The following is a 25,079-nucleotide window of genomic DNA, read 5'->3' on the forward strand; positions in this document are numbered from 1 at the left end:
CAGATTGGATGAGATTACAGAGGGAGAGAATGAAGGTAGGAAAATTGAAACGATCAAAAGATTGAATCCCAGCAGAAATCCATAATTATGTATAAATGTCACCTCATCACAAAACTGGCTCCCTCTCTCCCTTTCCTAAGAGAGTCTGAATACTCCATCAGAAAACTTTCTCTACAAATCAAACTATCTTTGTGGACTAATAAAAACCTCTAAGGCACTAAAGAGGAGGGCTTTGAGTCCTATGTCCGGGAATGATCAGTAGCTCTACTAAAAGAAATTGGCAAAATAATACAAATATTATGCTTAGCTTATACATCCAAGGAGAACAAATTTAATTTGTTCAAAATCACTGTTGAACTAAGGGGAAGGAGCAGAAGCAGCTATTAAACATGTATTGAACACCATTAACTAGGCACACTTGAGCTTGCTAAAATGGGTTCTCTTTTTTTTGAGACTGAGTCTTGCTCTGTTGCCCAGGCTGGAGTGCAGTGGGCAATCTCAGCTCACTGCAACCTCTGCCTCCCAGGTTCAAGCAATTCTGCCTCAGCCTCCTGAGTAGCTGGGATCACAGGCGTGCGCAACAATGCCTGGCTAATTTTTTTATTTTTAGTAGAGACGGGGGTTTCACCACGTTGGCCAGGCTGATCTCGAACTCCTGACCTCAGGTGATTTGCCTGCCTCAGCCTCCCAAAGTGCTGGGAATTACAGGCGTGAGCCACCACGCCCGGCCTAAAATGGGTTCTATGAGCATCAAATAAGATAGCCCACAAGGCTGATATTAACCCCCATTTTACTTAGAAGTAAACTTGGAGCAGTCAAACAATAGCCGATAAGTAGAATCTAGATGTAAACTCAAGTCAGACTGACTTCAACATTTTTGCTTTTCTCCCAGTAAAAGCTGCCTTGAGGGCCTCAAGAGGTTCTTGAGTCCATGGTATTTACAACATGAGAAGAGTTGCCAGTGAGAAGAATCACAAAATACCTGTAATAATAAATTGTTTCAGATGAATGAAACCTCATCTGGTCTTATCTTGTACCCAAACCCTCCCATTATGGGGGTCTGGAGAGATTCTGTGATTTTTCCAAGGTCAAATGATTATTATGTGACAGAGCCAGAAGGCTTCACTGAACAAGCATAAGGCGCTGGGACTGAGAGAAGAAGAAAGCATTTCCAGCCCCCTGCGCACTAAGCATGTGGTCTGGGAAGTCCTGTAGCCTCTCTGGACTTAAGTTTCCTCATCAAGAAAACAGAAGACCTCAGGTGATAATTAACTGAGAATTCATACAATAAACACACCACACAATTTCCCTGAGACTTATTTCCTTCCTCTATGAGGATAATTATTAGTCGTGTTGCTAAAGAGAGAGAGACCGCAAGAGAGACCGAGATATATAGAGAGAGTTCTCTAATGTCCCCCACAGACCCCAGCACCACCACTGTTGGCCAGACTGGGCCCACAGTAAGCAATTCTGGGCAGCCTATGTCAGACTTTACCCTGAGTTCCACCTTGCGCCTGCGTTGGCTTTTTTTTTTTTTTTTTTTTTTTTTGAGGCAAGAGTCTCACTCTGTTGCTCAGGCTGGAGTGCAGTGGCACGATCTTGGCTCCCTGCAACCTCTGCCTCCCGACTTCACATGATTCTCGTGCCTCAGACTCCCAAGTAGCTGGGATTCCAGGTCGTGCAGCACCATAACTGGCTAATTTTTGTATGTTTAATAGAGATTGGGTTTCTCCATGTTGCCCAGGCTAGTCTCGAACTCCTGGCCTCAAGAGATCTGCCTGCCTCGGCCTCCTAAAGTGCAGGGATTACAGGCGTGAACCACCGCACACAGTCCCCGTTGCCCTTCTTGGTATAGGAGAGTGTATTCGTCAGCTATTGTCACAATATTTGATATAGTTTGGATGTTTGTCCTCTCTAATCTCGTGCTGAAATGTGACCCCCAATGTTGAAGGTGGGGCCTAATGGGAACGGCAATCAATCATGCACCCCTTCTGTTAAAGTTCCAGTTTCCTCCCCTGAGTAACTGGTCAGGATTAGGGGAAGAAACCTGGCCTGGAATAGAAGTTTAAGTTATTAGATTCGCCACAACTAAGTCAGAACTTTCCAGAACCTTTTCACAAACAACAGTCCCAGATACCTATGTTTGAAAATGGGGACTAAATATCTGTTATTTTAAGTAGTCCAAGAGCTTTTACACTAAAAGAAATGAATAAAATATTACTCTCCTCAGTCTCCCATGAATTCTGTATTTCACTAAAGCATCTCAGGTGGGAAATCCTCCTTTTTGCATCCCACCCTTTTGGGGAAGGACTGATTTCGCCTTGGTTTTTGTTGAGATCAGAAGACACAGATATACCTTTAAAGCTCCCCATCAGAATTACAATCCAGAACTGTATTTCCTTGGTTTCCAGTTTTGCAGTGAATCAGTTTCTTGCCTAATATTCACAGGTTCACTACATTTGAGACACAGCTAGGTGGGAAAAAAACAGATGCCATGCACCCCCTAGTCTTTCACCAAAGAGACGCACTACCCTAGGTGTTTCAGGTCACTTCCAGAGCACTTCTGACCATTTGAAAAGGCCCTGCTTTGTGAAATTTGGCAGGGATGAGTATGAGCCTGCATTCTTCCTTGAAGAACTGCTCCCTTGGGAGGCCTGTTGTTTCTTCTCAGAAATTGTAATCTATTGCCACCTGGTGGTCATTCTGTCTTCGAGTTTAGAATAGCAAGAATTGGACGTTTCAAGATTTGCACAAGGAGATTTGCCCAAACACAAATCACCCTGTCCTCCTTGATTCATTTATTTGTATTAGAATATTTTCATCTTCTGACTATCAAGGGGGAAGGACCATTTGCCAGTTATCCGAAGAATCCAGCTCTCTTCTTTAGAAAAAGTGGCTGTAATTCCTAGAGTCCTCTCCAGCCTTCCAGCATTCTGCTGTCACCCCTCCCACCCCCTCTCACCCTTTTAACATTTTCCTGCCTCCCAGCTGTGAGTGTTGTGTGGTCTGTTGGGATGGGGGTGTGGATTTAGCTATGATCCTTCAAAAAAGTCCAGAATAATTCAGGGAACTATCTTTAAAGTACAAAAACAGCAAATGGACCTTAGCTCCGACTTAAGCAGAATGAAAGGTTAAGTAACGCTTCCCCCAGTTCTCGTCTCGGGAGACAGACGTTTAACCGGTGAGCACTGCCATTTTTTTTTTCCTTTCTGGTCATAAATTAGACACTTAAAATAGATTTTAAGGAGCCAGCTGAAACGAACCAATACCATGGCTCTAAATTACGTTTCCTGGAGGCTAAAAATTCTAATTGCGTCAAAAAAAATTGACGTGTCCTGTCTACTCACCTTGACTGACCACGTTTTAGGCGTGAAGATCTCCCCGCAGCCCGTTTGGGCGCTCCTTCAACGCCTCACGCTCCTCCTACTCACCCGTTTTTCCCTTTGCAGAAAAGGCTTGGCCCCAAATCCGGTTGGAATATCTTTAAACAATCCCCCACCCACCCACGACGGGGAAAGGAATAAAGGGCATTGTGGGCGGAGGGTCGTGTTCCCAAGTCCCAGCGGTGGTTGACCTAAGGAAACGTTATCCTCGGCAGACAGGGTGGAGTAGCCGGGGCTGCAAGCTCGCAAATCCCTAATGCCGGAGAGAGACTGGAGGGGTCGCATATCGCCCCCTCCTTCTTCTGCCTTTGAGCGCCGCGTTCCCATTTCTTCAAAGCGCTTCAAATACAATCGAAACAGCTGGGCGGACACCACTCCCTTCCGGGCCACCCCTCATCACCGGTTCGAGTCCCCGGAGAGGATATCTTTTTTCCACCCCCATTATCCCAAGAATCCTCCCCCAGGAATGATAAAAGATTAAAGGAAGAGTGAAAGACATAAACAAAAATATAGGTTTCAAATGTTGTTTAGAGCCGAATGACAACCACGGCCACTCTTAGTTCAAATTCCTACCGGAGAGAAGAGCAGTGGGCGAAATACCTCACCCCCCAACTAGGCAAAACAAACAGCAGTTACTGTCAGGAGGGAGGAGGGCTGGGGCGAGTCTGGTGGGTTGGCCCATAGCTATTGGCGGAAGCAAACGAAACAGAGGCATGGGGACCAGAAGGACGGGCGCTGTCCTTCGTGCTGAAAGATCTATGCCCTACCTCAAAACTCAGTAATCTGGATGGAGTGGAATTCCAGGCCTTCAATTCATTACCATTCCTGCTGTGCCCAAGAGTTCGAGTTGGAGGAGATCATTGAAAATTAAATCAAATTTATGAAGTTTCTAAGTGCGCTCCTCTCCCTGCCTCACCGGAATGTCCACTCCCGGCGTGCAGGATAATATAAACCGCAGGGACAATGCAAGCTCCAAAAAATAAGTGCTTGGCACATAGTAGGGGATTAATAAATATTCGTTTAATCAATTACTGCTAATATTCAATTAAACATTCTAAACAAGGACGGACAAAAGTCTTCATTCCTCCCCTACTCACCATAAAGGAGAAAGAGAGGGATGTCCTCGAAGCTGGACGGACTCAGCTTCAGCTTGCGTTACCTAGCCTTGCAGGAGATTCCTTCTCCAACGAGATTATTTCATTGGCTAAAACGTTAGGGGTGTTTTGAACTCTGGGGTCAAAGGAGGAAGTGGTTGGAAATGTCTCAATCTCGTGCCACAGGTGAAGTAAACGAATCTTCCTTTCCAGGGAATCACGGGTTTTGGGAAAAGGTTGAGGCGAGCGGGCGTCTATGCTGGACAATGAAGAACGAGGGGCACCGGGAGATGTGTTGCCTCCTCCTTCCTGTCTCCTGCCCCGTGCGTCTTGAATGATTTAGCACTGGCACCTGGCTCCCTGATTGGTGCGAGCGTCTCGTTTAGGGAAGGCTCTAGGAGGGCCGGTGGATGGAATTCCGAGCTTCACCTGGTTGTATGCCGCCCACTTCAAGCAGCGCAGAGCAGCTGCCGGTTGAGTGGTTTGGGGGGACGTTTCCTACGTGGAGCAGACACCCCCAGCCTGTCCAGCCCCAAGCCTCAGTGCCCGGGGCTGCAGTCACCGCGCGCCCCGCCGTTTAGGATGTTTTTTGTGTCCTTAAAAAGTGCCGGGGATTTCATCGTCAGGTGGAGACAAGGCGACAAAACAGTAGTTTCTTTAGTACCAAAGGCAACGCGATTATTTCAAACCCCACAGCGAGATCCCTCTTGCTGATCAGGCCATGTCTGCCCAGGGCGGACCCTTCGATCTCCCTTATGGAACTCTCGGTAATTTATAATATTTTTGTGTGTGTTTCCATTGTGTTGTGGTGAAAGGCGATAAGGCATTCAAAGAAAACGGACGGGCCTCCGCTGAACCAGTGAGGCCCCAGACGTGCGCATAAATAACCCCTGCGTGCTGCACCACCTGGGGAGAGGGGGAGGACCACGGTAAATACCAGTAAAGGAATCACTGCCTACACGGTGTCACCCAGACACGCACAGACATCAACATTTTTGCCCTAAAGAAAAAAACTGGGGGAGAAGAAAGGGGAGAACTTAAACTAGTGACAGGGCGGTGAGGGAAGGCATGAAGAGGCAAGCCGGCGCGTAACCGTCTGGCCAGCAGCTCCAGGTGTGGGCTCCGCTCGGGCGCTGGCGGAGAGACCCGGGAGCGCAGGGCCTCTCCGTCTCTGGGCTCTTGGCGCCCTCTGGTGGGAATTTCTCTTTCAACGCATTTTTACGGCGAGGGGCTTCTCCCAACGCAGCGGTTCTTTTAACTACGCCTAAATATTGCAAAGGGAGAATCCTTAAAGCGCGTGAAATCGAAGGGGGAGCGGGCCAGGGCAAGGGGGGCTGGTCCGCCCCTTCCGGGCACCTCTGTGCTCGGGTGCCCCATGCGCGTGCAGCGGCGCTCGTGCGTGTCATCAACCTTCAAACGTGATTAATCAGGAGGCCTTCTTTTCCCATCACCAAGGGGGCCAAAGCGAGGAGCGAGCGCATAGCAAAAGGGACGCGGGGTCCTTTTCTCTGCCGGTGGCACTGGGTAGCTGTGGCCAGGTGTGGTACTTTGATGGGGCCCAGGGCTGGATGAGGAAACTGTAATTCCTCCATGGTCTAAGAGGTCTCCCCTCATTTCTGCCTCCTTTGCGGTTACAACAATCCCAGCTCCGTAGAGAGCCAACGAGGACACGACCCAAAGCGCGCTTTCGCTCAAGGAAGCGTCGCAGGGTCACAGATCTGGGGGAACCCCGGGGAAAAGCACTGAGGCAAAACCGCCGCTCGTCTCCTACAATATATGGGAGGGGGAGGGGAAATGGGAGAGGGGAAAGGAGGGGAGGGAAGAAGAAACGCTCAGAAAGGCAGAATTCTTCGTAGGAATTATCTTTTCCCTCCTCTCACCCGACAGCCTGCCTATTTCCAAAGGAAAAAAAAAAAGCGTGTTGAGTACGTTCTGGATTACTCATAAGACCTTTTTTTTTTCCTTCCGGGCGCAAAACCGTGAGCTGGATTTATAATCGCCCTATAAAGCTCCAGAGGCGGTCAGGCACCTGCAGAGGAGCCCCGCCGCTCCGCCGACTAGCTGCCCCCGCGAGCAACGGCCTCGTGATTTCCCCGCCGATCCGGTCCCCGCCTCCCCACTCTGCCCCCGCCTACCCCGGAGCCGTGCAGCCGCCTCTCCGAATCTCTCTCTTCTCCTGGCGCTCGCGTGCGAGAGGGAACTAGCGAGAACGAGGAAGCAGCTGGAGGTGACGCCGGGCAGATTACGCCTGTCAGGGCCGAGCCGAGCGGATCGCTGGGCGCTGTGCAGAGGAAAGGCGGGAGTGCCCGGCTCGCTGTCGCAGAGCCGAGGTGGGTAAGCTAGCGACCACCTGGACTTCCCAGCGCCCAACCGTGGCTTTTCAGCCAGGTCCTCTCCTCCCGCGGCTTCTCAACCAACCCCATCCCAGCGCCGGCCACCCAACCTCCCGAAATGAGTGCTTCCTGCCCGCCCTAGTCCCTGCTCTCCACGGGTGCGCTGCGCAGGGACCCCCCCCCCCCCGCCTCCCTCGTCACTCTTCTTATCCCTGCCCTCCGGATTCACGCCCCGGGGAAGCACGGAGGCTGAGGCTCTAGTTGAAGTGGGGCAAGAGCGATTTTCCCTTGAGCTTCCATGCTGCGAGCGCCTGTCCCTCCAAAGGGCGCCTGGGCAGCAGCAGCCGAAGGCGCTACTAGGAACGGTAACCTGTTACTTTTCCAGGGGCCGTAGTCGACCCGCTGCCCGAGTTGCTGTGCGACTGCGCGCGCGGGGCTAGGAGTGAGGTCGGAGGGAGGGTGTGGAGGCGATGGCCGGTGGGCCCTTCTCTGTGGGGTCCTCGATCTACCCAGATTAGCCCGCAATCTCTCTGTCCCGGGGCCTTCGGGCGCCATCGCGCCAGCGCCGAGAGTCGAGCAGGGGCGCCGCGCAAGATCTTTGTCCGCCGCCTCCTGCGCGCTGCGCGCAAGTTCGTTTCCCCGGTGACGTTCCCCATGCTTACTTACCCCACCCTCTCTGGATCTGTACCGCGAGAAATCTGGGGTCCTCAGGGGGCTAGGTAGAGGAGAAACGCTGAAACCGGACCGAAACCTCGCCCTAGGCTTAGCGATGGCTAAAAACCGGCTGGGATAAGAGGGAGGCAAGCAACATTCCGACTCGCTGCTTTCTGGCTGTCTGGAGTGCAAGGTGACTGTGGTTCTTCTCTGGCCAAGTCCGAGGGAGAACGTAAAGATATGGGCCTTTTTCCCCCTCTCACCTTGTCTCACCAAAGTCCCTAGTCCCCGGAGCAGTTAGCCTCTTTCTTTCCAGGGAATTAGCCAGACACAACAACGGGAACCAGACACCGAACCAGACATGCCCGCCCCGTGCGCCCTCCCCCCGCTGGCCCACACGCCGGCTGCTGAGTGCCCAATGGGGCTTGTAGCGGCTCGGCTGGAAAATCGCTCACTGAGCGCTCCCCTGTGCTCCTAGCCTAGTCCCCCACACCCTTGCGTCTTGTACTGGCCTTGGACCCCCACCCCGACCCCGACCCCGCCTCGTCTCGGCGCTTCACTCCAGGTCGCGCCGATGCACCGCCAGACTCGAGAGCGGCCCAGGGCTACGCTCCCTGCGCCCCAGTACCGGAGCTAGCGCGCACGTCTCCTCCGCTGCCCCCACCCCTGCGCACCCCTACCAGGCAGGCTCGCTGCCTTTCCTCCCTCTTGTCTCTCCAGAGCCGGATCTTCAAGGGGAGCCTCCGTGCCCCCGGCTGCTCAGTCCCTCCGGTGTGCAGGACCCCGGAAGTCCTCCCCGCACAGCTCTCGCTTCTCTTTGCAGCCTGTTTCTGCGCCGGACCAGTCGAGGACTCTGGACAGTAGAGGCCCCGGGACGACCGAGCTGATGGCGTCTTCGACCCCATCTTCGTCCGCAACCTCCTCGAACGCGGGAGCGGACCCCAATACCACTAACCTGCGCCCCACAAGTAGGTCCCGCCCCAATTTTCTATCAAATGAACTGCAGGGAAGATGGGGGCGCTGGGACGTCGGGAGGCTGAGCTGGCGGAAAGGGAAGGGGGAGCGCGGAGATAATGGAGGCTGGGAAATAAATGGGGCTCTGACCCCGTCCCTGCCAGAGGTCATTCGGCTGTCAGGGACGCTAGGTGACTCCCAGGGCACCGGAAAGCGAGGACCACGCAAGGTCCGAGCAGCGGCGATCGTTGAGGGCTTCGCGGAGGAGGAGGGGCGCGCAGCCAGGGTGTTGTTTTTATTCTGTTGTGTGTGGTTTCTTTGCTCCGTGGGACGACAGGGGTCAGCGCAGGGGGCGGAATGAAGAGCTAGGAGCCCCAGCAGGAATAAGAGTTTTCAGTCCCCGGCTTTCGTTGAGCCAAGATCTGACCTCCTCCTTTCCCCCTGGGCTGTGTTCAAAGTCTATAATCAGCGGAAATTTCGACGTTAATTGCAGCTTTTAGAAAACTCAAGGTCCCTAATTGCTCCAAATTTGCATCAAGCTATTGACGAGTTAGGGAGAAGTCAGGGGCGGGAAAGGTGCATAAAACTGAGACTGAGCCTTGACATTTCATACAATTAATTACATCTCAGAGAAATAAATAAATAAATAAATAAATAGGGGAGCGGGCGGCATCCTGAGTGGCAAGAGATGGGGAACTGGGAGGGGGCAAGAAGCTTTATCATAGAGAGGAGAGAGCACCTCTCTCCTTATCCCAGGCAAGAGATCTGTCAGGAGGTGACATGTCCCGAAAAGAGAGAAAGAAAAGAGACACCAGATAAAAGAGGGGGGAGGATTTATGCTTCCCTGTCTTAAGTGCGACAGGCTCCTCAACCCATTTCCAGAATCTATCTTTAATTTTATTTCCTACCTCTGTAAAGGCTTGAGATGAGAAAATTGTTTTTCTTTTTCCTTGTTGGAGTGAAGAAGTGTCTCCTGACCCCACCCCCCTAAAAAAACTTATCAGCTTCAGACTGTAAGTGTTCCCACTCCCCCATTTATTTATTTCTGAGATGTAATTAATTGTATGAATTTCCAGAATTTGTATACAGAAAGGGCTTAAGAAGGATAGTGTGGTTACAGGGAGTGCTTATTGATGCGCTTTTATGGCACTTTATATTTGAGAAAATAAGTATCCTCATCAATGAAGTGGGGATTATTACCGGAAAGCCCCTTTAGACGCTGGCATTGGCTCCCGGGCAGGAGGTCTCGTGTTAAGTCCTCAGGTCTCATTCCAATTTCCTTTGCAGCTCCCTCTTCCCGCCACCCAGGAGGGATACAATTACCCACACAACAAAGAGGGCCTCGGGAGAGTCGCCAGCCCTGGTAGCATATGAACCAGGCACCGGCGTTGGAGCTGGCCAGGGCAGGGCGGGAGGAACGCGAGGCCTGCGCGCCTTTGTGTGGTGCTTTCGCCTTGATGGATTTCTTTTCTGACGCTTTCCACATTTCCCGCTCCCTTTTGCCGCCTGGGGGTGGGGGTGGGGGGTTAGCGGGCAGTTGTGTTAATTTGCCCTCCACTCCCGGCGCCCTTACGGAATTCCCGGTGGCCGCCAGTCGCCGGCGCAAATGCCAAGTCACCGGTAGGAGACACAACAGAGGCGATGACCTGAATCCGCACGTGGCCTGGTTCGCCTGGAAGCTGCCAAAGCGAAGGCAAGAGAGCCCGGGACCCTGCTGTAAAACAGCAAGCAGCACGTGTCCCAGGCACACTGTTGCGGGCCCTTAGCCTAGCTACGCATCCGCACCCCAGGCTTCAAAGGCGCGCTGGGCGCTCTATCCACTCTCACCCTCCCTTGCAGACAATACCTTTGCCCGCCCAGCTGGCTCCACTTCTTTGCCCCTTTAGAGTCTCCTGGGAGGTGGCGTTAGTGCAGGCAACCTAAGGCACTCTCTTGTTCCAGAAACCCTTGGGTGGGGCTTGGAGCCCTCCTTGTCCCCAACCACTAGGTCTTCCCGACCCTTGCTACATCAAAGGGGCTCTCTCGCTTGCTCTCCCCGTCTCCCTTTCCCTTTCTTTCATTGCAACCCCCAATTTTGAAAGGCAGTGCAATGTGTCTGAACTCCAACTTCCCTGTTGATTGACCTTGGAAAACTCATGTAACCTCTCTGAGCCTCGATGTTTTTTCTTTGTCAAATGACTCTTAGATCAACACTCCTGCCAGTTTCATAGGACTGTTACGAGAATTAGATGAGATGATGTTGAAAGTGAAAGCACTTTATCAGGTCCAAATAGCTCTTTATCCGCCAGGTATTATTAGGGTTTCGCTTTTGCACTGATTTCCTGTCTGTCACTGGAACTCCATCTGTGACATGTCTTACCGACGTCAGGCTGTTTCTTCTCCCCGCTGGGGCTCTGTTGTGCCTCAGGTTTAATGGATGTCACTCTCCTTATCGCCTCCAACACCTGTGCGAAGCTGGAGGCACCAGTCAGGGTAGGGTAAGCGAGTGCTTGGAGAGGTTTGCTTTGAGAGATTGGAAGGGGATTTCGTGCTGGGCTCACCACACCACTCCGCTTGGGGGCTTAGTGGGGATGGGGCTGCTTCCCACGCTTCTTGCTGGAAGTTGAACCCCGAAGGCAGCAGGTAGACCTTGAGGGGTTTGAGAACAGCCTGGAAAAGAAGGAAAATCCAGCAGCACCTCCACCCTCAGTTGTGACTCAGAGGAAAGGTGCTTGATTCCATTTACCTTTGCCTGCTCCAGACCCAAGATGTCAGAGGGAAGGGTTAATGAGGGGCAGGTTGGGAAGAGGGGCCAGGGATGAGGACCTGAGGCGCACTATTGTCTTCCCCACTCCCCGGTCTGACTGAAGAGCAGCCATGCGAGCCCGATCATCTAGTCAAATACTATTTTTCACCCAATTAATTCTTGAACTCTTCCACGACCCCATTTCATGCCAGTTTATTTTAAGCTGCCACTAGGCTGGAGACCCGCCAAGAAATTATGAGACGTTTCGGTCCCAGATGCCTGTGTTCCCTTTCTGGGCTGCTGTGGTCGCCCTTTGAGTCTGCGGGGCCCGGCCAGTGGGTGTTGGGCAGCTCGATCGGAGCCTGGCCCTTTGCGTGTGGGTCAGCCTTCACCCAACTCCGACCCCACCTCCGGAGCTGCCGGGCGGGGGTCGCTTACGGGCCCGGAGGGGCGCCGGGTGCCCCGCCTCTCAGAGACACCGTTCCATATTTGAAGCCAGGAGCAGGAAGGGAGTATGATGGGGGCTTAGAGTATATGCCTGTCGGCTCACAGATTTGGCTCCTAGCTCCTTTCAGGAAGTAGCTTTTAATGAAGAGCTCTGGCAAAGTCCTCATCCTCCCCCAAGAAAACCATTGTCCTCCACCCATTTCCCCGCGGTCGGAACCTCCCTAACCGAACCTCTCTCCCTCTCTCTCGTCCTAGCGTACGATACCTGGTGCGGCGTGGCCCATGGATGCACCAGAAAACTGGGGCTCAAGATCTGCGGTAAGTGACAGGACCCACTGGGGCCCGGCTGGGTGGCGCGGCGGGCGGACCTTTGGGGCTTGGGAGACTGGGACGCAAGCGGAGGGGGATCCGGGCTCATGGGTCTGATTTTCTAATGTAATTACAGCCAGGACAGCCAGCGACCACGCTCCCCTACAGGCCCTGACCCTCCTCTGCCCGCCCCAGACCTGGTCCCCAGGGGTCTTTTCCTCTGGAGTCCCCAATCCCCAACACCCAGTGGAGCGAACGCCGGGTGCCCTGCCTGGGCGCAGAAGCGGGAGGAAAGCGCCCCCGCGCGGCAACCCCGCCTTCCTAGCCCTGCGCGCAAGCAGCTCCCACCCGGTGCCGTGCACTCTGCCTGCGCGTCCCAAAGGTCGCGTAGAAAAGGTGAACTGATCTGGCTTGCTGGAGAGCAGACCAAAGGCGGTGTATCTGCCTAAAGCTGTAGCTGACACGTCTCCCCCATCCCCTACATCATCGCCTACCCCTCACTCGCACCTCCACCCGCGCAGTCGGGTCGCATTGAAAGTGGTCTCTCCACCTTGAGGGGTTTTGCCCTGAGATGTCATAACGGATTCAAGTTTCTTTCTTTGGGGCTTCGGAGGCTAAAGAAAAGGATTGCCTGGAGCCCTCCATGGCCTGCCTGAGGGAGGCACGAGGGTTTGCCTGGCGCATCCTTGAAGGCGAGGAGGGAAGGGAAAGGGGACGAGCAGGGACGAGGAGCCGCAGGCGGCGAAAGAACCGGGAAGGAAGAAAATAGATCAGGGAGCTGGAGAGGAGAAAGAACTGCTCTCTGGAGACAGGAGGGTCTGAAATGAAAACGCCCAAAGGATGTAATTTTTTTAAAGGAAAAAGGGAGATTTGTTCGAAGGGACACAGCTGAGTGATTCTGGCTGAACAATGAGGCCTCACTTTCCTGGCTACATTTCACCGACTAAAATTCTCTAGCCTTATCGGGCCAGAAAATACGGATGTCCCCGGGCAGAGGTTGGAGAGGCGGGGGAAGATTAACGGGCGGCTTATTAAAGAGCCATCCGTCAGCTCCTGCGCGCGGGAGATAGCGGCAGAGCAGGCACGGGACACGCCCGCCCGCCCTAGCCCCGGAGCGCCGAGAGCCGCCCGCCGCCTGGGTGCTCTCTGCACCTGATCTTCCCAGCCTCCCTGGGTCCCGGGGCGAGGGCGGTGGCAGTTTGCAGTCAGAGCAGAGTGGCCGCTTTGGGGAACTACTCCCTTCCCTGCTTGGCCGCGCCGCGCCCTCCCTGCATTTCTGGGGCTCTGTCCTCTAGACCCTGGGACTCGGCGTTTAGGGAGGAACAGGCGCTCCATTCCTAGACCCAGCCATTTTCCACCGAAAGCCCAGCCCTGCCGCCGGGCGGCCTGGGAGTTTGGCCTTCTCCCCAGCGCAGGACGCCCGTGGGGCAAGGCCAGGGCTGCATCCCTGTGCTGGGGCAGCCGGCGGCCGCGGATCTTTGTTCTATAAATAGCCCCGTCCCACTCCCACCCCCACCTCCACCCCCACCCTGCCGCCATTCTGGGCTTAATGGCCCGTTTCGCGCCAGGTCCCTTCGGCGGCCGCAGCGCTCGGCTTCTGCAGCCGTCATTGTCATGCAGCCAGCCGGGCAGGCAGAACTGAGCGAGCCCTGGGCAGCCGAGGACAGGGTAGGGGCAGGCTCTGGGCGACGGCTCCTTACCAGCGGCGCCTGGCCTGCTGAGGGTGGGGGGCAGCCCTCATTCACCCCCATCCTGCCCCCTGCTGTCCCCTGCTCCTCTGGCTGCAGGCGCTCCACTTCCGCGGGAATAAAAGGTCTAAGTGCTTCTTATGGGGACATACCCGACGAGTTCAGAAAGGCTAAAGAGGCGGGAAAGAGTGGGGCTTCGCTGGGTCCGGAAATAGGGAAGCCGGAGTTGGCCTCCACTCCCCCTCCCCCACTGTCAGCCGAAGCTAGGAGGGAGAGCTCCTGGGGGCTACAGTCCTCAGAGAGTTTCCTCCCTGTGTCTGCTCCCCACAACCCATGGTAGTCTGTTGAGGAGAAATTGCCTTGGGCTAAAATGCCCCGCTTTTGGGGCCACAGGTTAGGAGGCTTCCCATTAGGTTTGATTGTGAAAGAAAACAAAACACCAAGATTTATTTTCCACACCTTGAGACAACTTTGGCTTTCCATTTTAATCTAGTGGAGGCAGAGTGCAGTCTTTTGTGTTGGCCCTGGGTCCACAGCTCCCTGCCTGCCTACACACACACACACACACACACACACACACACACACACACACCCCTCCCTTCATCCCTGGAGGGATGGACCTGGAGGGTCCCTTCTTGACTTGACACCATCCAGGTTGGTTTACCCTTTCACATTAAGAGAGCAGAGGAACTCATGGTCCTCTTCCCACTTCCAAACCCACTGCCCTGGATGACTCTCAGAAGCACCCTCAGTGCCTTGCCAAAATTCAACCCCCACCCACTCTCCCCCTGCCCTTCCCCAAAATCCACAGAATGAAGCTGCAAGGAAGGCCCTGGGCCCCACTAGTGGTAGCCCTGAAGGCAGAATTAGCTCTGGAGGCAGAATCCCCCAGGGAGAGTAATCAGCTAGAAGAAACCCATGGTCTTGCCAAGAGCTGGAGAGTGCTGCAGGCATGGTGGCATGACCTAAATACGATGAGTTGCAGGGATCCCTAAGTTCTGGCTCCAGGCTCTGCTAACTTCCCAGGGTGTCCTTGGGCTTCCATCACTTATCTCTTGCTGCCAACTACAGCCCCTGAGCTGTTTTATTTAGCCTACACTCGTGTGTGTGTGTGTGTGTGTGTATGTATGTGTGTGTAATTTTGTATCAAGTGCCAAACCTTAAAAATAGAGAGATTTCAAGTGCTCTCTTTTTCTGGTTTCTCTTGAAAAAACTTGGGGGTGGGCAATGGGGAGGGAAACATGGCAGGTGCTGTTAGCCCAAGAAAATCAGAAAAAGAAGTCATGGTGGCTCACATCTGTAATCCCAACACTTTGGGAGGCCAAGGTGGTAGGATCATTTGAGGCCAGGAGTTTGAGACTAGCCTGAGCAGCATAGGGAGACCCCATCTCTACAAAAACTTTCAAAAAATTAGCCAGGTGTGGTGGCCACATAGCTGCAGTCCTAGCTACTCAGGAGGATGAGGCAGGAGGATCGCTTGAGCCCAGGAGTTTGAAATTACAATGAGCTATGATGGCGCCACTACACTCCAGTCTGGACAACAGCAATACAGTATGACCCTGTCTCAAAAACAAACAAACAAATGAAAAAGAGCCCCTCCGTCTATGCATATGCAATTCCATGCCATAGCTTGGTGAACAGAGAATGTGCTGGGCTTCAGCTCCCACGTGCCCTGTTGGCCATAGGTGTTTATGCCATACACAGCTCAAAGCCCCACTTGGCAACAACTGGCTGGAGCCAGGTGCTTTCTAGCTACACATACCTGTGCGCACATGCACGCACACATACACATACACACTCTCTCACTGGGCCCCATAAGCCTTTGAGTTTGGCAGCAGGGGTGAGGAACCTGCAGCAGGAGCTCCCCTCAGCTCAGAGGTGGAGTCATGATTTTTCTCCCCTTGCGGCTGGCCAGTGTGCTAGCACCCAACCAAACACAACTGCAGCTTTGCCTCTCCTCTGCTTTCCTCTTTGCCTCTAAGAATGTAGAGCTCTGTGACCAGTTACCCACAGGCTTAAACTAGGTCCTCGAAGCTGGGGTGTAGAGCAAGAGGGAGTACACTCGGCTTCATTCTCTGGGACCCCTTCTTACAGGACCCCTTGCTAGCCAGGGAAATTGTCAAGGCACTGACCTCCATGTCATCCACCACCTCTTCATCCTTGGAGAAGCAGTTCCTTCCAGGGCCTCTCAGAGCCAAGGGAGGCCTGGTTCACCTACCTTTCTGAGGATCCCAGTATTTTAGAGAACAAACACCTTCCTAAACAAAGTGAAAGACATGTGACAATATATATTATATGTTTATATTAGCAAATTAATTGTTTTAACATAAATTATAATGCAGTGTAAGTGTGCTATTCATAAAATAATTACAGGATTTAGAGAGGATTCTGATTCCTAGTACATTACTGGAAGTGCAGCCCAAGGAATGGGATGCAGGTTTAAAGCCGTGTCGTAGGGCCGGGCGCAGTGGCTCGCACCTGTAATCCCAGCACTTTGGGAGGCCGAGACAGGTGGATCACCTGAGGTCAGGAGTTTGAGACCAGCCTGACCAACATGGCGAAACCCCCATCTCTACTAAAAATACAAAAATTAGCCAGACGTGGTGGTAGGCACCTGTAATCCCAACTACTTGGGAGGCTGAGGCAAGAGAATCACTTGAACTTGGGAGCTGGAGGTTGTGGTGAGCCGAGATCATGCCACTGCACTCCAGCCTGGGTGACAGAGCAAGACTCCGTCTCAAAAAAAAAAAAAAAAAGCTGTGGCATAACGATCGTTTCTCAGCCTCATGAGCGCATCTCTGGGAGAGCCTGTGTCAAAACCTCAAGCCGAGTTTCTGCTTCCTGCAGCTGCCCAGAGGGAAGGGGCTTCAAGGTGGGGAGACTCAGGGAGTGAGTCAGAAGCCTAAGCAGGCGTCGGGGACAACAGAGTGGAGGTTCAGCTGGGCAGGACCTCACTACATGAGGCCACATGGGTTTGGTCTTTCAAGTCTGGCAAATTCCACAGCTCAATGTTCTGGGATGAGAGGAGCAGTCTCAGAGTTCAGGTGCCATCTGATCCTGCATCCCTCTGGCAAATGAGTGCTGGCTCCTGGCTCTGGACTTTGAGGATTTGGAGGAGGAATTCAGGAAGTAGGCAAAGAGATATGGAAAAGGATACAATCCCATCTTTATACCCAAGTGTGGAGCTCTATTATAGTGTATTTCCCCCCTTCTCATGTCCTTTGGGCTTTAGTGATAAATGTAAAAGGTGCTGGGAGCAACAAAAAGCTTGGTGGCTCTGCTTTCCCCTTCTTCCCTCCAGAAATAGCCCCTGGCTCCCTTGTGTGGGAGGATTCTAATCACCGCAGCCCTCCCATGCATCCCCCCTTCTCCCACCCATCACAGTTGAATTGTAGTCCTGGGAAGCAAAGCTGAATTCTCCAGATTAACTTGCCTTTTTGCACCTCTTGGGACTTTCTTCCAAGTCTGCCTTGTGACACGTGTGACTCCGCAAGTTTCTTGGTATTTACAGAAACAGCTTTGGGGTCACCAAGAAGCTTAGAACCTTTTTCCTCTTTTCAGTGTGCTGCATTTTGGGCTAAGACTGAGGCTGAATTGAAGGAGGAGAAGCCAAAGGAAAGAGCAGACGTGCGGGCCAGGAGCCCCACAGGGGATGGTGGAGATGTGGAGGGAGTGTGCTCCACGCTGGCAGGTTCTCCTGCCCTTTTGGCTTAACCCTCTTTCCCCGTTTGCTGCCGGAGTTTGTCCTGCTCACCTTGGGCAGGAGAACTTTCCACTCACTCCGAGGGGCAGAGGTGAGGCACTGAGAATCCCGCCCTGGGCTCAGATCCCTCCTGTCATCTCTGTGGAGTTCTTGGATGACTAGTTTTATTCCAGCATTTGTCACCATCTGCCAGGCTTGTAGGCTCCTGGAGGGCAGGGGATCTGTCCCACTAGCTTTATCAGTCCCCAATCCTAGATGCTTAGCAAAGTGTTTTTGTACAACAGGTGCTCAATAAGTACTTATAGAATTAAATGGCAACACAGAAGATTGAAGCTTTTTTTTGTCTCACAGTACCTTCATTCAAGGAGAGGGGGTGGTGCAAGAAAAGCTGCATTCAGGTTTGCATTCAGAAAAATACCACTTACGTTCAACCCTGTGAGCATTACCTGGTGCTGGAGGAAAGTGTCTGCCCGAATCCTCTGTGTTGGACCTCACTACTTCTCCTTCTGCCATCCTCACCCCTCCTCCTTCTGCTGTCCTCCCTCTGCTGTCCTCACCCCTCCTCCTTCTGCTGTCCTCCCTCTGCTGTCCTCACCCTCCTCCCTCTGCTGTCCTCACCCTCCTCCCTCTGCTGTCCTCGCCCTCCTCTCTCTGCTGTCCTCACCTCTCCTCTCTCTGCTATCCTCACCCCTCCTCTTTCTGCTGTCCTCACCCCTCCTCTCTCTGCTGTCCTCACCCCTCCCCTTCCCTCTGCTGTCCTCACCCTCCTCCCTCTGCTGTCCTCACCCTCTTCCCTCTGCTGTCATCTTCCTCCCTCTGCTGTCCTCATCCCCTTCCCTCTGCTGTCCTCACCCTCCTCCCTCTGCTGTCCCCACCCTCCTCCCTCTGCTGTCCTCACCCCTCCTCTTCCCTCCGCGGTCCTCGCTGTCCTCCCTCTGCTGTCCTTGATCTCCTCCCTCTGCTGTCCTTGATCTCCTCCCTCTGCTGTCCTTGCTCTCCTCCCTCTGCTGTCCTCACCCTCCTACCTCTGCTGTCCTCACCGTCCTCCTCTGCTGTCCTCACCCCTCCTCTTCCCTCTGTTGTCCTTGCCCTCCTCCCTCTGCTGTCCTCACCCTCCTCCCTCTGCTGTCCTCACCCTCCTCCCCTGTTGTCCTCACCCTCCTCCTCTGTTGTCCACACCCTTCTCCCTCTGCTGTCCTCACCCTCCTCCCTCTGCTGTCCTCGCCCTCCTACCTCTGCTGTCCTCACCCTCCTCCCTCTGCTGTCCTCACCCCTCCTCTTCCCTCTGCCGTCCTCACCTCTCCTCCCTCTGCTGTCCTCGCCTTCCTCCCTCTGCGGTCCTTGCTCTCCTCCCTCTGTGGTCCTCACTCTCCTTCCTCTGCTGTCCTCACCCCTCCTCATCTCTCTGCTGTCCTCACCTCTCCTCCCTCTGCTATCCTCATCTTCCTCCCTCAGCTGTCCTCACCTCTCCTCCTCCCTCTGCTGTCCTCACCCTCCTCCCTCAGCTGTCCTCACCTCTCCTCCTACCTCTGCTGTTCTCTCCCCTCCTCCTTCTGCTTATACAGCCCATAAACAGTGCTGGCAGCATCTTCTCTGATTGTGTCTCCTCCTTTAAAGCCCTATCCTGGGGCTGGTCACTGGAGTGGAAGCTGTCCAACTTACTTAATTGTGAGTTCACTGTCACATTCAGAGAGGAGAACGGGCTTCACTTACTGTTTTTCTCTCTTGCATGACTGGGCCTCTGCCACTGATGACATTTGGCACTGCCCCCCTCCCTGCCTGAAGGCGAGCAGTGCCAGAGCCACTGTATTTAAAACACAGACACTCACTTCTTTTCTCAGGAGAAACAAGAGCCCTGCTTGGAGAGTTGATTCACTCTGCAGCTGACCCTCAGGGGCTGGGCAGTTTGCAGCACTCTCTCTGACCAGCTTCTTGTGCCATAGGCTTCTTGCAAAGGACCAACAGCCTGGAAGAGAAGAGTCGCCTTGTGAGTGCCTTCAAGGAGAGGCAATCCTCCAAGAACCTGCTTTCCTGTGAAAACAGCGACCGGGATGCCCGCTTCCGGCGCACAGAGACTGACTTCTCTAATCTGTTTGCTAGAGGTAGCCCCTGCCCCACTCCCGCCCCATGCTAGCCAGTAGATTTCTTATTTGAGTTTCTTGACTTTTTCCTGCAATTTTACTTCTTTTATCAAGAAATGTCATTATTCTCTCTGAACCCACATGAAACTGCTTTTGTGACTTTGGGGGAATATAATTGACTCCCTCCCTCCCTGCTGGCCAGGTCTCCATCATTTTGGAAACTGGATGAAGGCAGTCAATAAAAGTCAACTCTAAAGACACTCGAGGGAACAAATATGGATTCATAGACTCTCAGAGTCAAAGGAACCTTGCATATAAGAAAATCTAATGATTTCCTTAATAACGTTTATCCTGGAAGATTGGCCACACACATACACACAAAATCACACTATGGGAAGTTGCATGCTGAGCCTCATAACCAACGAGTGTCCTGGAACTTGTTTTCCTTTCAGAGATGTTTTACTAACCCCTGCTGCCCCACAACACTCATCTCAGGAGGTGCTTTACCAGTCTCTCCCAAACAGCTCATAGGTAGATCCGCTTCCATCCCCTTCTGTGAACTTCCCACAGGGCCACAGAAGGCAGACCAGAGTATTAAACAATATGTCACTAAAACCCTGGAGCTAACCCAGGAAGTCACAGAGAGTATCGTGCACAACTGCACAGCCTGCCTGTGAGCTACAGAATTGGGCCCCTACAGCTTTTTTCCCTGCCTAACCTCTAGCCTGACTACTGCAGAGCCTGTCACCCAAAGTCACCTCTGGATATCTCAAAGTCCAGGCCCAAAAGGGTGGGGTCAAGAAAGAGGCAGGGGTTCCCTGTCCCACCTTCTTGAGCCCCATCTTCCAGCTCCAGTTTCCTGTCGAAGGACACCGCCAAGGACCACCCTCCTCAGGGGGAACCCCAGCCTCTACCCACAGAGGCCTTACCCTCTGATGCCAACAGACCAAGCACATCACAACACCAAACCAGATAGACAGGGACACACCTGGTCCCAGGGGAGCACGACAGATGCCCCCTCCATCACACTCCTCACAGGTGCCCATTCAACCTGCAGATGACAACCGCAGTCGCAGGTTGTTCACGGCGTCTCAGAGCACTTCATTCCATGTCTGAGCAGCCTGTCAGAAAGGCTGTGAACCCCCAGGAAGCATGTGCAAAACTTCTGTGTATGTGCATTTTTCTGGAGATGTGGTATATCCGATTCTCAGTGCACATACATATCCCAGAATGAAATCAGGCCTATACAGATAGCATGGTTAATATTAGGGGTCTCTGGGCTGAAGAAATCTAGATATGAGTCAGGTGAAAACCATTCATTGCTCTCCCCAATTCAGATCTGCTTCCGGCTAAGAACGGTGAGGAGCAAACCGTGCAATTCCTCCTGGAAGTGGTGGACATACTCCTCAACTATGTCCGCAAGACATTTGATCGCTCCACCAAGGTGCTGGACTTTCATCACCCACACCAGTTGCTGGAAGGCATGGAGGGCTTCAACTTGGAGCTCTCTGACCACCCCGAGTCCCTGGAGCAGATCCTGGTTGACTGCAGAGACACCTTGAAGTATGGGGTTCGCACAGGTAAGGAGGAGAGTTGGGTAGACAGGTAGTGGCAACTTTGCCCTCCATCTCACCCTTGCCAGTTGTGAGGATATCAAACTTGTGTTGGAAGAAAAACACAGCCCTGGTGAGATAAGGCGGCAAAGTACCCAGTGACCACAAGAACAAGCTTGGGCAGTAACAGTTGGTGGAGGGACCCGACCCAGGCAAAAGTTCATCAGCATATATCATGGTAAAAGTAGATAAAAAAGATATAAATGCTTGGTGCTAGGTCAAGTTCTGTATAAAGAGTTTTCATTCTGGCCAAGCACAATGGCTCATGCCTATAATTCCAGCATTTTGGGAGGCCAAGGTGGGCAGAACACTTGAGCTCAGGAGTTCGAGACCAGCCTGGGCAACATGGCGAAACCTTGTCTCTACATATGTGTGTGTGTGTGTGTGTGTGTGTGTGTGTGTGTGTGTGTATATACCTATTTTTATATATAAATATTTATATATAAATATTTAATATAATAAATAAATAATAATTATAAATAATAAAATTTAAAAATAATAAATTATAAATAATAAATATAAAAATAATATATAAATATTTATATATAATATTTATATTATATATTATATATAAATATAAATTATATAATATTTATATATATATGAAAATGAGCTGGGCATGGTGGCGTGCACCTGTAGTCCCAGCTACTCAGGAGGCTGAGGCCAAGAGGCAGAGGCTGCAGTGAGCCAAGATCGTGCCACTGCACTCCAGCCTGGGCAATAGATTGGGACCCTATCTCAAAAAAAAGAATTTTCATTCTTGGATTTAGGCTATTCACAACCTAAAGAGAGCAGAATGACCCATCCTCTGCTTCTTTTCTTGCCTCCATTTTCAGGTCTATTTCATTCTGATAAATCCTGCCCTTGCCTGTCCCTGACACTGGGGAGAATTGGGCTATTTCCTCTCCCTTTCTGTATTAGTTTCCTAGGAATGCCATTATAAATGACCACAAATTGGATGGCTCAAAACAATAGAAATTTGTTCTCTCACAATTCTGGAGGCTAGGAGTTTAAAATCAAGGTGCTGGCTATGCTCTCTCTGATGGCTCTTGGAGAGGATCCACCCTTGTCTTTACCAGCTTCCAGGTGTTGTGGATATTCCTTGGCATTTGTTGGCTTGTAGATGCATCGCTCCAACCTCTGCCTTCACTTCACATGGCCTTCATCCTGTGTGTGTGTCCAAATTTCTCTCTCCTTATAAGAATGCCAGTCGTTGGATTAAGGCCCACCCCAATCCAGCATGACCTCATCTTAACATGATTACATCCGCAAAGACCCGATTTCCAAATAAGGTCACATTCACAGGAACCAGGGATTAGGACTTGAACATATCTTTTTGAGGAACACAATTCAACCCATGACACCTTTTACCAGCTAGGCCAAAAAGACACATGCACACACAGGCCAAAAAGACACAGGCACACATGCGCGCGCGCGCGCACACACACACACACACACACACACACACACATACACACATGCCTTCTCATTCTACTGCAACTTCTGGAACTTAGGACACTCTGAGTCACCAAATTCTATTTCCAGTGGGAGTCCTTGAGGATGTCCTCTTGCCTCCTTTTCTTGTTCCAGGAGCTCTCTCTAATCAGCAATCCTCATCAAAGCAGTTGCTTTCCAATTGCCTCCAGTTCAAGGACTTTGGGGCCTCTGTCTGAGATGCTTAGAAACAGCTCAGACTGTGGACTAAGCCCAGGAGTGACACAGTGGTTTCTTCTCCCTATAACTCTCTCCACACTACAGTCTGGCTTTCCTGAGCTCTCAGGCAGACAGATCTAGAATAATTGACAGTCCCTAGCTTAGTTGCCACCACAGGGGAAGCCCCAAGGCCACAACTGGCAATCCTGTGTTCTTTCTTCTTCTTTGTCTCTCCTTCTTTATTTTCCCTCTCATTCTTCCTCGTCATTTGAAGATAGATTTAAGACTGAGACTAGGAGGCTGGTGGTGATAGAGCTGAGTAAGACTATTGGATGTCAAAAACAAAGTGTTATAATGAAATAATGATGCTGGCCAAAGATGCTTTTTAAAATGAGGAATCCCAGAGAGCTGCTGAGGTCTGCCAACACCACTGGAATAAGTGCAGCTTCATTAAATGACTGATGGATACACAAGACTCAGTTATATGTACAAAATTTATGTTGTTTGATTTTTAAAGAAAAGCACTCTATCAATTTACATTTAGTTACTTCTCATCTTGGTCAGATGGCTAATATATTCCTAATGGAAAACAAATAGTGTTATTCGGCTGCATTTTAAAAAGAGTCAGAATTCCCCATGTATGTTTAGCTTGACTTGCTTTGGTGTGATATTTTGAACTTTGCCAGTTTGCTCTACATGCGCTTTCTCAGAGAGATGAGAACTACATCATTTTATTATGAAAGCCCAGAATGGCGTTGTCCCTCAAATAAAAATACATGATTTTGTCATAATATCAACTAATATTATCTACAAAACCAAAGCATCTTGTGGTCAGAGAAAGCACTGACGGGCCTGGCCTGGTGGCTCACACTCGTGATCCCATCACGTTGGCAGGCTGGCAGGTGGATCACGCGAGCTCAGGAGTTCAAGACTAACCTGGGCAAAACCCCATCTCTACCAAAAATACAAAAATTAGCTGAGCGTGGTAGTGTGCACCTGTGATCCCAGCTACTCTGGAGGCTGCAGTGGGAGGATCACTTGAGCCCGGGAGGCGGAGGTTGCAGTGAGCTGAGATTGTGCCACTGCACCACTCCAGCCTGGGTGACAGCAGGACCCTGTTTCAAAAAAAAAAAAAGAGAGAGAGAGAGAGAAAGCATTGACTTTCATTAGTCCAGTGTATGAACCCACTTAGGTACTTAGCCTGCAAACATTCATTTTTGTTCCTCAGAGTTGCTTCTTGGGGCAGATATTTGTCTTTACAGAGTTCACAGTCTTCCAAGCAATATGAAACCTCCTGCTATATCTCAGGATTTTGGCCCTGATAAAAGCATGCTGTTGCTGCCGTGTCAAAACAGCTCCTGGTTGCTGATGTGGAATTTAAGCATAGATAAGGAGCAATAGGGTAAACCCCACAGGTAGCTACACACAGTAGAAAGTATTTTTTCAAGGATATTAATGCATTAATAGGCTCAGCCAAAATAATGAATTGGGTTTTAATAGTGAAAACATACTGATCCGGGTATAGTCTGTGAAGAGATGATGATGGCATTTAGAAATTTCTCTATAAATTAATAAAAGACTTCTTTTAAAAAATGAACCAGCCTATAGAGATTTCCCATGAACTAACAGGCACCAGTCAGCCTTCAGCCACAGCAGCTACTTAAGTGATTTGTAGATATGCTGGACTCCCTTCGTTGTTCTTTTTAAAACTTTTTCTTATGGAAAATTTTAAACTTATACAAAAGTAGAATCCTATAATGAACCCTATAAACCTAATGCCCTGCTTTATTATCAGCTTTTACCTGTACCGCCATCCATTCCCCATCACCTACATTACATGAAAGCAAATCCCCAACATAATATTATTGTATCCATAAATATTCATTCTTTTTTTTTTTTTTTTTGAGATGGAGTTTCAATCTTGTTGCCCAAGCTGGAGTGGAGTGCAGTGGCGTGATCTCGGCTCACTGCAACCTCCCCTCTTGGGTTCAAGCGATTCCCCTGCCTCAGCCTCCTGAGAAGCTGGGATTATAGGTGCACGCCACCATGCCTGGCTAATTTTTGTATTTTTTTAGTAGAGATGGGGTTTCACCATGTTGGCCAGGCTGGTCTCGAACTCCTGACTTCAGATGACCCACCCACCTTGGCCTCCCAAAGTGCTGGGATTGCAGGCATGAGCCACCGTGCCTGGCCCAATATTCATTCTTAAGAACTTTTTTTAAAAAAGTCCACAATGTCATTGTCATACCTGAAAAGAAAAATTTATAGCTCCTTAATGAAATATTTAGTCAGTTTTCAAATTTCCAATTGTATCATGAACGTCATAAATGCTTTTAGTTAATTAAACTCATTTGAATCAGGATCCAAATAAGTTTCTTACATGCAGTTGTTTGCCTTGTCTCCTAATCAAGAGATCTCCCCCTCCAACTCTTCTTTTTTTTC

The 25,079-nt window shown here is 51.3% G+C and overlaps 1 protein-coding gene and 1 long non-coding RNA gene across 11 annotated transcripts in view, besides 5 other annotated features; one reads left to right on the forward strand and one right to left on the reverse strand.

The window, feature by feature from the left end:
- The window catches only part of GAD1 (glutamate decarboxylase 1), a 47,942-nt gene continuing 25,831 nt past the window's right edge, over positions 2,969–25,079 (forward strand). For 2 of the 6 annotated variants that reach the window (NM_000817.3, XM_017003758.3), the window contains exons 1-5: positions 6,646–6,807; positions 8,288–8,432; positions 11,846–11,908; positions 19,234–19,392; positions 20,709–20,951. In NM_000817.3, the coding sequence (NP_000808.2) occupies positions 8,351–8,432; positions 11,846–11,908; positions 19,234–19,392; positions 20,709–20,951 (547 nt within the window). In that variant the 5' untranslated portion in view covers positions 6,646–6,807; positions 8,288–8,350. Of the gene's footprint in view, positions 3,182–6,645; positions 6,812–7,012; positions 7,176–8,287; positions 8,433–11,845; positions 11,909–19,233; positions 19,393–20,708; positions 20,952–25,079 lie in introns of those variants that run through there. The other 4 variants (XM_017003756.2, XM_047443875.1, XM_011510922.1 and 1 more) reach the window with 3 other exon arrangements.
- GAD1-AS1 (GAD1 antisense RNA 1) lies at positions 4,382–8,410 on the reverse strand. Of its 5 annotated transcripts, NR_197761.1 has the most exons (4): positions 8,145–8,410; positions 7,477–7,674; positions 6,613–6,791; positions 4,382–6,244 (listed from the first exon to the last, which is right to left on the reverse strand). It is a non-coding gene; the product is annotated as a GAD1 antisense RNA 1 (long non-coding RNA). The 5 variants fall into 5 exon arrangements; NR_197763.1 differs by lacking the exon at positions 8,145–8,410 and having other exon boundaries at positions 6,613–6,758; positions 7,477–7,799; NR_197764.1 differs by lacking the exon at positions 8,145–8,410 and having other exon boundaries at positions 7,477–7,799.
- Positions 6,461–6,540: a silencer, noted in NCBI's record as "silent region_12093". NCBI's record gives its function as "represses an Ori minimal core promoter by ATAC-STARR-seq in GM12878 lymphoblastoid cells {active_cell/tissue: GM12878}" and the evidence as "EXISTENCE:reporter gene assay evidence [ECO:0000049][PMID:35858748]".
- Positions 6,628–6,797: an enhancer, noted in NCBI's record as "experimental_55930 CRE fragment used in MPRA reporter constructs". NCBI's record gives its function as "activates a minimal promoter by MPRAs in K562 erythroleukemia cells, with activity observed for both the introgressed and non-introgressed 2:171673464 variant alleles {active_cell/tissue: K562}" and the evidence as "EXISTENCE:reporter gene assay evidence [ECO:0000049][PMID:34662402]".
- Positions 8,037–8,560: an enhancer, noted in NCBI's record as "H3K4me1 hESC enhancer chr2:171674788-171675311 (GRCh37/hg19 assembly coordinates)". NCBI's record gives its function as "activates a minimal SCP1, AML or CMV promoter by ChIP-STARR-seq in naive H9 embryonic stem cells {active_cell/tissue: H9 hESC(naive)}" and the evidence as "EXISTENCE:reporter gene assay evidence [ECO:0000049][PMID:30033119]".
- Positions 8,561–9,083: an enhancer, noted in NCBI's record as "H3K4me1 hESC enhancer chr2:171675312-171675834 (GRCh37/hg19 assembly coordinates)". NCBI's record gives its function as "activates a minimal SCP1, AML or CMV promoter by ChIP-STARR-seq in naive H9 embryonic stem cells {active_cell/tissue: H9 hESC(naive)}" and the evidence as "EXISTENCE:reporter gene assay evidence [ECO:0000049][PMID:30033119]".
- Positions 12,600–13,399: an enhancer, noted in NCBI's record as "H3K27ac-H3K4me1 hESC enhancer chr2:171679351-171680150 (GRCh37/hg19 assembly coordinates)". NCBI's record gives its function as "activates a minimal SCP1, AML or CMV promoter by ChIP-STARR-seq in primed H9 embryonic stem cells {active_cell/tissue: H9 hESC(primed)}" and the evidence as "EXISTENCE:reporter gene assay evidence [ECO:0000049][PMID:30033119]".

The sequence above is a fragment of the Homo sapiens genome, chromosome 2 (assembly GCF_000001405.40).
Source record: "Homo sapiens chromosome 2, GRCh38.p14 Primary Assembly".
In the NCBI taxonomy this organism is placed as follows: Eukaryota; Metazoa; Chordata; class Mammalia; order Primates; family Hominidae; genus Homo; species Homo sapiens.